Below are 14,791 nucleotides of genomic sequence, written 5' to 3'. Positions count from 1 at the left end.
GTAGAGCCATGTGTATAGTTGCGGATCCAGTGCTGTGAAAACATACCGAAGAGACATGTTCTTGTGGATATGAGAAAAAAAAATAGGACCAAAGGACGTATTTTGGGGGTGGCATTTTGAGAAACCCACCTGTTGCTGCAGCATTTGAATTTGACTGTGGCGTGAGGCTGCGGTGCACATTCCTGTGCATGTTTTTACCAGCATGTGTTTTCCATCTCTCTGAGAATCTTCTTGTGGTCGTTGACTTTTCATACGTAACGTCTTGGGTGAAGTGTCCAGGTCTTTCACCCATTTTTTCTAAAATGGATTTTTTTTTTTTTTTTTGACAGGGTCTTGCTCTGTGGCCCAGGCTGGAGCACAGTGGTGCCATCACGGCTCACTGCAGCCTCCATTTCCTGGGCTCAAGTGATCCTCTTGCCTCAGCCTCCCAAGTAGCTGGGACCACAGAAGCGTGCCACCACACCCACCTAATTTCCAGAATTTTTTGTAGAGACAAGGGTCTCCCTTTGTTATCCAGGCTGGTCTCGAACTTCTGAGCTCAAGCAGTCCTCCCGTTTCAGCCTCCCAAAGTGCTAGGATTACAGGCATGAGCCACTGCACCTGGCCCGTGTGCCTTTATAGTGTTGATTATGCCTTCAGCACTGATACTATGCAGCCATCTTTAAATTCTTCCTGTTGGATTTATTGTGTCTTTATTTTCACTTCCCTGATTTGTATATTTCAATCCTGGGTTACTGTGTAAATCCCCAAAAAGTTTTCATTGCTTTTGCTTTTCTCTTATCCAGTCAAATACTTCTACCAACATCGGAGTAATTGAACATATTTTCTTCTCTCACCTAACCCACGGTAGCTGCTTTCTCTCCTCCCATCTCCTGTGTGACGTTTCTGGCGGGCTCTGCTGCTCCTTTATGCCTGAGCTCTTTTCTTTCCCACATCGTGGCTGCTTTCTGTGTCTCCTGCCCCCCTGCCCTAGAAGACGGGAGTCGGGGAGGTGGGGCTTCGATCCCCTCCTTGTCCCCCTTACAGCTCCTGTCTGCTTGGCCCTCATCCAACGTCTGCCTCAGGCCATTTGCTAATAGATGGGGCCTAATCTCGAGGATGGGTCCCTGAGGAGCGGCGTTGCCGGGGTCTTCTACCTCCACCACCCCTCCCCCGTTCAGGATTGTCACCATGACCCCTTGGTGTGCACAGTGCAGACTTAGTGTGGAGCTGAGGCAGGGCCTGGACTGAAACACTGTGTCTGATTTCCTTGCCTAGTGGGCATCCCCACCATCAGATGGTGCGGGGCAGAGGGGGACTACAACGTCATGGTGATGGAGCTGCTGGGGCCAAGCCTGGAGGACCTCTTCAACTTCTGCTCCAGGAAATTCAGCCTCAAAACCGTCCTGCTGCTTGCTGACCAAATGGTAAGGACTGTTTCCTGACAGTTGGCACACACTTGCTGTCTGATAGAATCAGCCACTCGCTTGTGCTGTTCTTGCCATTATTATGGCCATTAATTCACAGAGGAAATGGAAATTTGCTGAGCCTCAGCCTTGAGGCTGCAGTGGCTCAGCTCACTGGCTTCTCGAGGCTCCGGTGGCTCCGCTCACTGGCTTCTCGAGGCTCCGGCGGCCCAGCTCACTGGCTTCTCGAGGCTCCGGCGGCCCAGCTCACTGGCTTCTCGAGGCTCCGGCGGCCCAGCTCACTGGCTTCTGGAGGCTCCGACGGCTCAGCTCACTGGCTTCTCGAGGCTCCGGCGGCCCAGCTCACTGGCTTCTCGAGGCTCCGGCGGCTCAGCTCACTGGCTTCTCGAGGCTCCGACGGCTCAGCTCACTGGCTTCTCGAGGCTCCGGCGGCTCAGCTGACTGGCTTCTGGAGGCTCCGGCGGCTCAGCTCACTGGCTTGTCGAGGCTCCGATGGCTCAGCTCACTGGCTTCTGGAGGCCCCGGCGGCTCAGCTGACTGGCTTCTCGAGGCCCCCGGCGGCTCAGCACACTGGCTTCTCGAGGCCCCGGCGGCTCAGCTGACTGGCTTCTCGAGGCCCCGGCGGCTCAGCTGACTGGCTTCTCGAGGCTCCGGTGGCTCACCGCACTGGCTTCTCGAGGCTCCGGCGGCTCAGCTCACTGGCTTCTCGAGGCTCCGGCGGCTCAGCTCACTGGCGTCTCGAGGCTCCGGCGGCTCAGCTGACTGGCTTCTGGAGGCTCCGGCGGCTCAGCTCACTGGCTTCTCGAGGCTCCGGCGGCTCAGCTCACTGGCTTCTCGAGGCTCCGGCGGCTCAGCTCACTGGCGTCTCGAGGCTCCGGCGGCTCAGCTGACTGGCTTCTGGAGGCTCCGGCGGCTCAGCTCACTGGCTTCTCGAGGCTCCGGCGGCTCAGCGCACTGGCTTCTCCAGGCTCCGGCGGCTCAGCTGACTGGCTTCTCGAGGCTCCGGCGGCTCAGCTGACTGGCTTCTCGAGGCCCCGGCGGCTCAGCTGACTGGCTTCTCGAGGCCCCGGCGGCTCAGCGCACTGGCTTCTCGAGGCCCCGGCGGCTCAGCTGACTGGCTTCTCGAGGCTCCGGCGGCTCAGCGCACTGCACTGGCTTCTCGAGGCTCCGGCGGCTCAGCGCACTGCACTGGCTTCTCGAGGCTCCGGCGGCTCAGCTCACTGGCTTCACAAGGCTCCGGCGGCTCAGCTCACTGGCTTCTCGAGGCTCCGGCGGCTCAGCTCACTGGCTTCTCGAGGCTCCGACGGCTCAGCTCACTGGCGTCTCGAGGCTCCGGCGGCTCAGCTCACTGGCTTCACGAGGCTCCGGCGGCTCAGCTGACTGGCTTCTCGAGGCTCCGGCGGCTCAGCTGACTGGCTTCTCGAGGCTCCGGCGGCTCAGCTCACTGGCTTCTGGAGGCTCCGGCGGCTCAGCTCACTGGCTTCTCGAGGCTCCGGCGGCTCAGCTCACTGGCTTCTCGAGGCTCCGGCGGCTCAGCTCACTGGCTTCACGAGGCTCCGGCGGCTCAGCTGACTGGCTTCTCGAGGCTCCGGCGGCTCAGCTCACTGGCTTCTCGAGGCTCCGGCGGCTCAGCTCACTGGCTTCTCGAGGCTCCGGCGGCTCAGTTCACTGGCTTCTCGAGGCTTCTGGAGGCTTCGGTGGCTCAGCTCACTGGCTTCTCGAGGCTCTGGTGGCTCAGCTCACTGGCTTGGAGGCCACCTTCTCGGTACCAGCATAGCACGTTTCCATTCAGTGGGTTCCTCAGTCTCTCAGGAACACACGTGATTCCTAAGCACCTCCGTGCAGTTTCTCTGCTAATCCTGGTGTGTAGTCTGTGCAGAGAACAGTGCTGGGAGAGACCGATGTCTAGTGGCGGGTTGTCCCCTCTCTGTCGCCTCACCTCTCTGTTTTGTGGGAGCTGAAGGCAAAGCGCCTAGGCCTGTGGAGGGTGGAGTGTGGAGGGTTGCTGCAGGCACCTGGGGGAACAATTTGGTCAGTTCGGCATCCCCCTCGCTAATTGTTAAACTACCCTGCTGTGGCTGAGGGGCAGGAACAATGCAGCCACTGATGTAGTGTCCCACAGTTGAGCGGTCCCTCCCTGAGACTGCCCTGGGGTGCCATCTCGCGCCCTTGCTCTGCTCACAGATCAGTCGCATCGAATACATTCATTCAAAGAACTTCATCCACCGGGATGTGAAGCCAGACAACTTCCTCATGGGCCTGGGGAAGAAGGGCAACCTGGTGTACATCATCGACTTCGGGCTGGCCAAGAAGTACCGGGATGCACGCACCCACCAGCACATCCCCTATCGTGAGAACAAGAACCTCACGGGGACGGCGCGGTACGCCTCCATCAACACGCACCTTGGAATTGGTGAGCCCCTGGGCATGGGGTCACTGACCTGGGGTGCCTTTGGGCGCGTCCATGCCTCAGCCCAGGGAGAGGCCAGCCTCTCGGGGAGCTGGGGCTGCAAGCGTGTCATCAGACCTTTGCGGCAGACAGGCTGGCTCGTGACTGCCAGGTGTATGGGGGCAGGCGGATGCTGGGACATTTCTGAGTCACCTGTGATGTGTTTGGGAATTTCCTTAGTATGCATGAGGGGCAGCTCTGGGTGAGAGTGATCTGGGCATGTGTGTCCGAGGTTCGTCTCCACTGGAAGTGCCAGCTGGAGTGATCTGGGCATGTGTGTCTGAGGCTAGTCTCCACTGGAACGGCCAGCCGGGTCTTTTGCTTTGACGTGAGCACGCAAGTGCCGTTCTTCACGCCTTTCCCTTTTCTTTTCAGAACAATCCCGAAGAGATGACTTGGAGTCTCTGGGCTACGTGCTAATGTACTTCAACCTGGGCTCTCTCCCCTGGCAGGGGCTGAAGGCTGCCACCAAGAGACAGAAATACGAAAGGATTAGCGAGAAGAAAATGTCCACCCCCATCGAAGTGTTGTGTAAAGGCTACCCTTGTAAGTCTCTGGAGGCCTCTTCTCAGCGGAGCTGCTCACAGGGGTTGCATATGTGTCGGGTGTGCCGAGACGGCTCAGTCTGGGTTTTGTCAGAAGAGTTGCTCACCTTCCAAAGGGGTGGTGGCAGGAAAGCGGGGCGCTTTTGTGTATGGAGGTAACAGCCTGCCCTCCTGTTCATCTTGACTTACTTGCCAAGTGCCCATCAGCGTGGGGAGTACTTGGAGGCCCTGGAGAGATGGCAGGCAAGGCAGGCCCGAGCCTCAGGGCCCCAAGTGGCTGGAAAGGGATGGACAGGCAGTGGTGGGGCCTCTCTCTGCAGTGGCTGCCCTCTCTGGCCCCCTCCAGGAGCTCGGGAGATTTCCTTTGCATTTGTAGGATTGCCCCAGGATACACACCTCAAATGAAACTAAATTGTGCTTTATGACTTCTTTTTTTTTTTTAAGACACAGTCTCACTCTGTCGCCAAGGCTAGAGTGCAGTGGCGTGATCTCGGCTCACTGCAAGCTCCGCCTCCCGGGTTCATACCATTCTCCTGCGTCAGCCTCCCCGGTAGCTGGGACTACAGGCGCCCGCCACCACGCTCTAGAACTTTTTTTTTTTTTTTTTCAGTAGAGATGGGGTTTCACTGTGTTAGCCAGGATGGTCTTGATCTCCTGACCTCGTGATCCGCCCTCCTCAGCCTCCTAGAGTGCTGGGGTGACAGGCGTGAGCCGCCGCACCCGGCCGTGACTTGAATACTTTTCGATGCTTTCTCAAGGCTTCAGGTCTTAGAAATCTGACAGGTGTTTTGCATCTGTCCTTCTCCCCTTGAGTGTGCAGCAGCAGGAGGTAGACAGCGACGTTGGCAGAGACACCTTGAGTCGCAGTTGGGTTTCATGAGTTAGCTTTGAGTTTCTTGTTTTGTAGCCGAATTTGCCACATACCTGAATTTCTGCCGTTCCTTGCGTTTTGACGACAAGCCTGACTACTCGTACCTGCGGCAGCTTTTCCGGAATCTGTTCCATCGCCAGGGCTTCTCCTATGACTACGTGTTCGACTGGAACATGCTCAAATTTGTAAGTCGCACTGCCAGCACGTTCGCTGAGTGTGGTGTGCGGGGGATGGCTTGTCAGTGAGAGGCCGGCGGCCGTCTTGTTGAGGGGCTGTACCATATAGGGAGTGTCTCTGGTTGTGAAGGGCAAGTGTGTAGTGGGCAGGACCTGGACTGAGTGGGTGTCTGCCTGCCAGAAAGGGGTGCCAAGAAGTAAGACGCCATTAGGGAACGCAGAGGGGTCCATGGAATTCCTGGGTGTGGACAGCAGGAGGCCCCTTCCCTCCCTGTCACCAAGCGGAGCTAGGGCCCAGAGCATGCCCTGGGGGCAGAGGGTGGGGGCTGGGGGTGCGCATTCCCATTCGCTGTGCCACATGGTCGTGGTGCCCACGAGATGAGTGGGGTTGGGGCCTGGTGAGGTGCTACCCGTCTAGCCTGACTGACCCTGTCATGAGCTGATTTTCCCTGTGGCTTTCTTGATGCGGTGTGAGTATGCAGTGGAGCCTCTAAAACAGGCAGCCCAGCCCTGGGTCCATGTCTGAGCTGAATTACTTTTCAGACACCGCTGTCAGAAATGAAGCTCCTGTGGAACTGTTGTGTTCCTTCATTAAAAACTTACTGTTTTGTTGTCAGTTTTAAATAGAATTTGGAGCTTTTCCAGGCAGCAGTCTGATGGAGGAGCAGAACTGCCTCTTGGGAGGGTACAAAAACGGCAGCCTTGTCCAGTAGTCGTGCAGGGGCCAGGGAGGGGCGGGGTCTCCAGATGCTGGGAGGGGTGCACTCTGTTCATCTTGACTTACTTGCCAAGTGCCCATCAGCGTGGGGAGTACTTGGAGGCCCCGGAGAGATGGCAGGCGAGGCAGGCCCGAGCCTCGGGGCCCAGGTGCCGGGAGGGGTGCACTCGGCAGGGCAGATCAGTCCCTCTGCCGGGGCTGTGCTGCCTCGGGAGGAATCAGAGCGACCCTCCTGCGGCATTAGAGTCACCCGGCCCTCAGAGCAGGCTAGGCCAGCGTTTTCCGTAAATGGCAGCATGAGGAGTCTGGGCGGTGCTGGCCGCACGGTGCTGCAGCCGCAGGTGTGTCGGTCTGTGTGTTGCCTGGTGAACGTGGCTGTGTCCAATGAGCTGTACTTGCAGGAAGAAGTGGCACCTGGGTTTGGCCCCGGGGCTGTAGTTTGCAGGCCCCTGCCGCACAGCATTGGCAGTTAGAATCTGCTTTTTCATAGGTTGCTGTCTCGGCTTAAAATCTGACCTCCCCACCCCCGTGCATCTGGATAGTGCAGCACAGATCCGGCTGCCGGCTGCTGGCCACGCCACCACACCTGCACAGGCTGTTGGAGGCTGCAGGGTCCGGACCCTGAGTGTACTCCTCGTCCGACCAAACGCTCTCATCCCCACCCCGCTTTCCTCCCCAGCTGTCACCATTTGGGGCCTGTCTTTGGCCTCCGATGGTTCCTGTCCCTCTCCTCTTTCTGCACGTGTTAGTGAGCATGTTCACAGAGCAGCAGGGGGTAGCTGCTGCCCATTTGGAAGTTTAAGGAAGTTCTGAGCCCACAGGGAGATGCCATGGCGAGTGGGGTTTTTTCGATTGTTGGGGGAGCTGAGAGGCCTGGCTCTGACCCCTTGTGGGGATGATGCTGTCATCCCATGAGGAGAAACGTGCAGCCTGTGGGGGGCTTTGCAGGCAGTCTCGTCCCAGTGCCCTTTGGTAGGTATTTTCTCACGTGGCCGGGGCAGCCTAGGACCTAGGGTTGCTTTCTGCCAAAGCTGGTTCCATTCCGGCCTCACCTCCTGCCTCCTCAGGGTGCCAGCCGGGCCGCCGATGACGCCGAGCGGGAGCGCAGGGACCGAGAGGAGCGGCTGAGACACTCGCGGAACCCGGCTACCCGCGGCCTCCCTTCCACAGCCTCCGGCCGCCTGCGGGGGACGCAGGAAGTGGCTCCCCCCACACCCCTCACCCCTACCTCACACACGGGTGAGTGCCCCCCTCCCAGCGCTCTGGGGCTGGCTCTGGGGTGACTTCTTGTGTCTTGGGGTTGGTGGGGACAACAGGGTACTTGGTGGTGGACACTAAGTGCCCTGTGTCAGGCGATGCTCGCTCCTGAGGGTGGATGAGCCAGGCTGCCCAGGCGCCTTTAGAAATGCCGGCACCTGCTGGTGTGCGTGATTCCTCCCGCATCTCACGTTCCTCCCCTGTGAGCCCCTTGACCTCGCTCCCATGTCCCTTTGTGTCCCTCCGGCCGGATCTGAGTGTTGGTGGCCATCGGCCACAGCCAGGTCCTGACTGTCCAGGCAGCCCAGGGTCCTCTCTGGCCACAGCCTCTCATAGAAAGCCCCGAGTGAGAGGCAGCAGACGGGGGCGGCCCACTCCGTTTCTCTCCCTGTCCTCAGCTAACACCTCCCCCCGGCCCGTCTCCGGCATGGAGAGAGAGCGGAAAGTGAGTATGCGGCTGCACCGCGGGGCCCCCGTCAACATCTCCTCGTCCGACCTCACAGGCCGACAAGATACCTCTCGCATGTCCACCTCACAGGTAGGTGCAGAGCTCCCGGGCGGGCGCTGGGCCTCGGGCTACCCCGTCCGAGTCAAGAGCGGGCTGTGGTTTCTCCAGGGCTTCTTCTTTCCTTTCTTCCCCCCATTTTTGAGAGTTTTTAATCTCGCCAGGGTGTGGCGTCTTGGTTGCAGATGAGGCTTCTCGGGAGGGCCTGGGAGACATGCTGGGCCGTCATGGGGCTTGTCTCCTGGTTGCAGGTGGCCAGTCTCAGGTCTCAGGTCCCTGAGGCCAGCAAACCGTGGGGGCTTTCTCCTGCTGTTTGAGTGCCCCGCTGCCCGCAGCCGTCCCCAGGCAGCTGACACCGCTCGCCTGCTTGCGCCCCATTGTGGGTGCCCCCAGCCCGAGGGAGCCTTCCTCATTCTTCCTCATTCTTGCCACTGGCCAGGGATGGAGGCCCGTAGGGACCTCCACGGGCTTCTTGTGAGACCCTCCCTGGTGGCATGCCCTGCAACGAGGCTTTCCTTCTTTTGACGGCCTCACCTGTCTTCCCTTGGACGAGAAGTACCCTGTTGCGCAGCCCAGGCCTAGCCACGGCCACCGCCTCTTCAGCATCCTGCAGCGGTCTCTCCTCTCCTCGCTCTGGCTTTTGTTGTCTTTTGCGTTTGCTAACGTGCTCTTTGAACTAGAACAGCTTTCTCCATATGGATCCATTATATTTCTTCAAATAGTTTTCTGGGTTGTTCGCCAACAGGGGCAGGGTTAGTGGGGCAGGGCTGTTTCACCAGCAGGCATCCTGGGGGGTGCCCAGATCCCCCACGGGTCTTCCGGATGAGCAGGAACTCAGTTCAGAAATGCCCTGGAGCCTGGCTCTGGGCTTGTGGGGAGGTGTTTGTTGGGATCACAGGATGGAGCCAGGCCTGCTGCCGTGAGCGGGGCTGGGTGTAGCTGGCTAGCCAGGAACATGCCGGAGTGGGGAGCACTCTTGACCACTTGCCGTCTTTTAATGATTGGGGTTTTACTGCACGTTTCTAATTCACTAATAATTTCACTAGAAACAGACCTTTTTGTATAACTTCTTCCCAAAGAGACCAAAGATGCAGGGATTTTGGCTTCGTGGTTATTTTGACTTTGTGGTTATATGAATTGGGCTCGAGGGGTCTGGGCTGCGTCACGAGAATGGGTCCCTTACGTGCACACAACCCTGCTGTCACCTCCAGACACAGCACAGAAAGGGTTTAACTGGCTTCTTTCCACGAGCCTGGCACTTGCGCATCAGTTCCTGTGAGCAGTTCCCGGGAGGGTCTGCCCGTGCCCTCGTGTCTTGATGTGCGGCTGGCTCTGTAGCCCCTGAACCATGGTACAGGAGCCCAGAGTGCTCCCCATGCTGGGTGCTGACCGGACTTGGACAGCCTCGCCCCAGCGCTTGGCTGACAAAGACTAGGGAAGGGGCCTGAGTGCTTTTTGTTTCTTTTAAAGAAAGTAAAGTGTCCAGTGGTTTGGGATCTTTGTGGGCAGTGAAGGTGTCCTGAGCGTGCTGAGTAGCCACAGCCCTGAGTCCAGCTGCCTTTTCTCGGTACACGGCCTTGGCGGCACCTGGGTGTGGCTGTTGTAGCCACCAGCCCCCAAGGTGGCCGTGAGCAGTGTCTCCTTCCATGGTGAGCTGTGGCAGGAACCCGCAGCTGGCTCTTAGGCCCTCGTTTTCCATATGAGGAAATACAACGTGGGCTCTAACAGCAGGGAGGAGTCTCCAGAGAGAGCTGGTTTGGGGGTGTGTTCTCTCCAAAAGAAGCCTCTTGGCCTCTGCTCCTGGACACCCTGGGGGGCCTTCCTGAGAGGCATGTTGAGGGCTCCCCACCTCCAGGGCGGGCCCCCTCCTTTGTCACCATCTCACAGGAAGGCTTTGGCCGTGTGTCCTTCCTGCCAGACTCTGCCAGCACCAGCACACGTGGTGGCTGTGAGCAGCAGCTCCCGTTTTGAATCCCAAGGGGGAATACAGGAGGCTCAATTGCTCTGAGCGCCTCACCTGTTTGCTCGGGTGAGCTGGAGACACAGTCACCGTGGGCAGTGACTCATCCCCGGCCAGTCTTCCTCCTCGGGCCGTCGCTCTTCCCTGTTCTTTCTGCTCCTCTCAGGAGACCTTGCGCCCTGTGGAGATGGGAGGAGGCAGCAGGAAGGTCTCCCAGGGCTTGCTGGCCGTGGCTGGGTGTGGATGGGTGGAAGACCACGTGGCAGCCTGCCTGTAGGTCACAGAGGCCCCCATAGTTGTAGGGCCCCGCCCCAGCCCGGACTCCGCCTGGGTCTGTTCCCTCTTCGCCCCCTCTCTTTTCGGGCTGTTGGTGTTCGGCCAGGGCTCTTTGGCTACAGTAGCCTGGGCCCTAAAGGCCATCTAGTTGCTGAGTCTGTTTGGGGTTTTTACTTGGTGAGAAGAAGGCCTTGTCATTCCAACAGTCGATGACTCGCTTTGATCAACTCCTGCCCAGGACTAGGCCTGAGCCCTGTCGTCGTACCGGCGAGGATGTGCGTCTCCCCTGCCTTCAGGCTGTGCCCTGAGACCCAGTTGTGGGGCTGCCCAGCACCTGCCATCCTGCTGGGATCAGGTTTTCTTAGTGCTTGAGAAGACTCAGGAGGGCCTGTCCCATGCCATTGTTGGCCTTAAGAGCAAGTGATTCCAGAAGAGGAGTGGGCACCACTCTCATCCAGAGGCCCGTCCTGAGAGGCAAGTGAGGCTGTGCTCTGTGCCTGGGCTCCCCCAGGTGGCACCTGTCGGTCTGTGGACCTGGTTGAGGCAAGGATGCCCATCTGGACATGGAGCCGACACAGGTAGTCAGGGGGCCAGCGGGACGCTTACCAACAGCTGTCTTTTCCCCACCTCAGAATAGCATTCCTTTCGAACACCACGGCAAGTAGCTGCTCGTCTCCCATCGGAAGGCAGCACTGGGTGAGTGTGCGCGTGGCGGGCGCCAGGCAGCAGCGCCAGGTGGGTGGGAGCCACCATGCCCCACCCATGGGAGCTTGCAGGTGGGCTGGGCTTGCATGCCAGGTGCTGGAGGTAGAGTGAGGCTTCTTCTGCTCTGTTCTTCTTGTGGGGTGCAGAGCGGCGGCAGTCCGCTGCCCAGTCTTGGGGGGAGGCTGTCCACAGAGAGCTTTGGAACAGAGTGACCCCAGGAGACCATCCTGTTGGCCTGTGGCCTCCCCGTGACTGCGTTCCGTGTGCCGTTGCTCTCCTCCTGTCCTGGGTGCCCACCCGTGAGGCAGGAGTGGCAAGGCGGGTGCCCCGAGCACTTGAGTTGCCTTGTCTGCGGTCGGCCGTGCCTGGAGGGGCGTCTGTGTCCTGCTCAGCTGGGTGGCTCCACGCTTGGTGTTGGGGGCTCCTAAGCTCTTGCTGCGCCACACTCTGGGCAGTCTCTGCCATGCCAGCTTTTCTAGTCGCCTCTCTCTTCCTGTCTCATTTATCTCTGTCCTTGTTTTGTGTTTCTTTTCACACTTGGTCTCTGCCCAGCCGTCTTGTCCACGCAGCTTCGTCTGTATTAACTCCTCCAGCCGCAGCCCACTCACTCCCCGCCGTCGGTGCATGGCCGGCGTCCACGCTGTGCTCCCTCCTCGGCGGCCACGCGCGCTCGGCGGCTCCTTCCAGCAGGGGCTTGCGCTTCTGTCGGGTCTGTGCCGCTGGGAGACCCGCTGCAGTTTTCACACTGTGCACACTCTGGAAATGTGTTGACAGGAACTGCTTTTCATGTCTTCCCTGAGAGGGGTACCCATTTTCAAACACCAGGTTCCTTTCCAGGAAGGGAGGCAGGAGCACCCGTCTCCGCTCCACTCGGATCCTTCGACCCTGCCGAGCCCGGCTCCGCGGGCACCTTGCTTGCATGCCTCTTCCTCCTTCCCGTCTTCCTGTCACTCGTTCTGCTGAGCACGTGTCCCAGCCACAGAGGCCCCTGTGCGTGGCGGGGGACGCAGGCGTCTAGACTGGGGCTAGGCGGTGGCGGTGCGTCCCCTCCCTGCCCAGCACCGTCACTGTGGTATCTGCCTGGCCGGCTCCCCCAGCCCCATGCTGACCTTCTCCTGTGCTTTGGCTCCGACAGATTCCTGGTCGGGTGGCTTCCAGTGGTCTTCAGTCTGTCGTGCACCGATGAGAACTCTCCTTATTGCTGTGAAGGGCAGACAATGCATGGCTGATCTACTCTGTTACCAATGGCTTTACTAGTGACACGTCCCCCGGTCTAGGATCGAAATGTTAACACCGGGAGCTCTCCAGGCCACTCACCCAGCGACGCTCGTGGGGGAAACATACTAAACGGACAGACTCCAAGAGCTGCCACCGCTGGGGCTGCACTGCGGCCCCCCACGTGAACTCGGTTGTAACGGGGCTGGGAAGAAAAGCAGAGAGAGAATTGCAGAGAATCAGACTCCTTTTCCAGGGCCTCAGCTCCCTCCAGTGGTGGCCGCCCTGTACTCCCTGACGATTCCACTGTAACTACCAATCTTCTACTTGGTTAAGACAGTTTTGTATCATTTTGCTAAAAATTATTGGCTTAAATCTGTGTAAAGAAAATCTGTCTTTTTATTGTTTCTTGTCTGTTTTTGCAGTCTTACAAAAAAAATGTTGACTAAGGAATTCTGAGACAGGCTGGCTTGGAGTTAGTGTATGAGGTGGAGTCGGGCAGGGAGAAGGTGCAGGTGGATCTCAAGGGTGTGTGCTGTGTTTGTTTTGCAGTGTTTTATTGTCCGCTTTGGAGAGGAGATTTCTCATCAAAAGTCCGTGGTGTGTGTGTGTGCCCGTGTGTGGTGGGACCTCTTCAACCTGATTTTGGCGTCTCACCCTCCCTCCTCCCGTAATTGACATGCCTGCTGTCAGGAACTCTTGAGGCCCTCGGAGAGCAGTTAGGGACCGCAGGCTGCCGCGGGGCAGGGGTGCAGTGGGTGTTACCAGGCAAAGCACTGCGCGCTTCTTCCCCAGGAGGTGGGCAGGCAGCTGAGAGCTTGGAAGCAGAGGCTTTGAGACCCTAGCAGGACAATTGGGAGTCCCAGGATTCAAGGTGGAAGATGCGTTTCTGGTCCCTTGGGAGAGGACTGTGAACCGAGAGGTGGTTACTGTAGTGTTTGTTGCCTTGCTGCCTTTGCACTCAGTCCATTTTCTCAGCACTCAATGCTCCTGTGCGGATTGGCACTCCGTCTGTATGAATGCCTGTGCTTAAAACCAGGAGCGGGGCTGTCCTTGCCACGTGCCAAGACTAGCTCAGAAAAGCCGGCAGGCCAGAAGGACCCACCCTGAGGTGCCAAGGAGCAGGTGACTCTCCCAACCGGACCCAGAACCTTCACGGCCAGAAAGTAGAGTCTGCGCTGTGACCTTCTGTTGGGCGCGTGTCTGTTGGTCAGAAGTGAAGCAGCGTGCGTGGGGCCGAGTCCCACCAGAAGGCAGGTGGCCTCCGTGAGCTGGTGCTGCCCCAGGCTCCATGCTGCTGTGCCCTGAGGTTCCCAGGATGCCTTCTCGCCTCTCACTCCGCAGCACTTGGGCGGTAGCCAGTGGCCATGTGCTCCCAACCCCAATGCGCAGGGCAGTCTGTGTTCGTGGGCACTTCGGCTGGACCCCATCACGATGGACGATGTTCCCTTTGGACTCTAGGGCTTCGAAGGTGTGCACCTTGGTTCTCCCTTCTCCTCCCCAGAGTTCCCCGGATGCCATAACTGGCTGGCGTCCCAGAACACAGTTGTTCACCCCCCCACCAGCTGGCTGGCCGTCTGCCTGAGCCCATGGATGCTTTCTCAATCCTAGGCTGGTTACTGTGTAAGCGTTTTGGAGTACGGGGCCTTGAGCGGGTGGGAGCTGTGTGTTGAAGTACAGAGGGAGGTTGGGGTGGGTCAGAGCCGAGTTAAGAGATTTTCTTTGTTGCTGGACCCCTTCTTGAAGGTAGACGTCCCCCACCCGGAGAGACGTCGCGCTGTGGCCTGAAGTGGCGCAAGCTTGCTTTGTAAATATCTGTGGTCCCGATGTAGTGCCCAGAACGTTTGTGCGAGGCAGCTCTGCGCCCGGGTTCCAGCCCGAGCCTCGCCGGGTCGCGTCTTCGGAGTGCTTGTGACAGTCCTTGCCCAGTATCTAGTCCCCGTCGCCCCGTGCAGGAGACGTAGGTAGGACGTCGTGTCAGCTGTGCACTGACGGCCAGTCTCCGAGCTGTGCGTTTGTATCGCCACTGTATTTGTGTACTTTAACAATCGTGTAAATAATAAATTCATAATGACTTCTACCTTTCTTCCCTCCCCTTTCCATGTGGTCTTTATTTCATCAGCTTGAGAGTTTTCACTGTGTTGAGGTGAACTGTGTGAAAATACTTCTTTGAGATGGCTGTTTGTTCTTTCTCAGCCTGTGGGTGTCTGGGAGCTGGCAGAGCAGGAGAGCTGCCCCCTGGGCCTGCTGCCGGGCAGGGAGGGGTGGCGACTGCTCCTCGCCGTGCTGCCCCCTTGGGCTCTGTTGTGCACACAGAAGTCCACGCACTTTCTGTGTGACGGTTCTGGAGAGTCCCTGCCTTCTCGGGCGGCACCGGCAGCCGCACTCCAGCCGCCTGGGGTGAGCGCATGTCCCTTCCCCCTGCCATAGGGCCGTGGTGCTCAGGGATCCCCCTGTCGCTTGAGCTGTTGAAGCCCAGGAGCTGCCCGATGGCCCTGCACAGGCACAAGGAGATAGGGTTCCTCTTCCCCCCCCCCCCAGAGCACACAGCAGTGGCCCCTATCCAAGGCCTGCGGGGGCTGTCAGGCTGCCAGAGCAGGGAGGTCTGCACCAACTCCTAACCTGTGCTCGTGTGTGGGTGAGCTCAGCCAGGCTAGGCCGCCTCCCCTCCCAGCTCCCCTCCCACCCCCACCTCCACCCAGTACTCT

The 14,791-nt window shown here is 58.9% G+C and overlaps 1 protein-coding gene across 9 annotated transcripts in view, besides 2 other annotated features; it reads left to right on the top strand.

The window, feature by feature from the left end:
- The window catches only part of CSNK1D (casein kinase 1 delta), a 34,732-nt gene that overhangs the window by 16,916 nt on the left and 3,025 nt on the right, over positions 1-14,791 (top strand). For 2 of the 9 annotated variants that reach the window (XM_005256336.5, XM_047435381.1), the window contains exons 3-8: positions 1,258-1,406; positions 3,591-3,819; positions 4,231-4,401; positions 5,308-5,456; positions 7,233-7,404; positions 7,821-10,363. In XM_005256336.5, coding sequence (XP_005256393.1) covers positions 1,258-1,406; positions 3,591-3,819; positions 4,231-4,401; positions 5,308-5,456; positions 7,233-7,404; positions 7,821-8,116 — 1,166 coding nt within the window. In that variant the 3' untranslated portion in view covers positions 8,117-10,363. The other 7 variants (NM_139062.4, NR_110578.2, NM_001893.6 and 4 more) reach the window with 7 other exon arrangements.
- Positions 3,335-4,534: an enhancer, noted in NCBI's record as "BRD4-independent group 4 enhancer chr17:80210177-80211376 (GRCh37/hg19 assembly coordinates)". NCBI's record gives its function as "activates an origin of replication core promoter dependent on BRD2, P300/CBP, MED14 and CDK7 cofactors, and independent of BRD4, by STARR-seq in HCT116 cells {active_cell/tissue: HCT116}" and the evidence as "EXISTENCE:reporter gene assay evidence [ECO:0000049][PMID:35650434]".
- Positions 12,893-12,972: an enhancer, noted in NCBI's record as "active region_12996". NCBI's record gives its function as "activates an Ori minimal core promoter by ATAC-STARR-seq in GM12878 lymphoblastoid cells {active_cell/tissue: GM12878}" and the evidence as "EXISTENCE:reporter gene assay evidence [ECO:0000049][PMID:35858748]".

This window comes from Homo sapiens, chromosome 17, assembly GCF_000001405.40.
Source record: "Homo sapiens chromosome 17, GRCh38.p14 Primary Assembly".
Taxonomy (NCBI): Eukaryota; Metazoa; Chordata; class Mammalia; order Primates; family Hominidae; genus Homo; species Homo sapiens.
The sequence above is the reverse complement of the archived record's forward strand: the minus strand, read 5'-3'. Positions and strand labels throughout refer to the sequence as shown.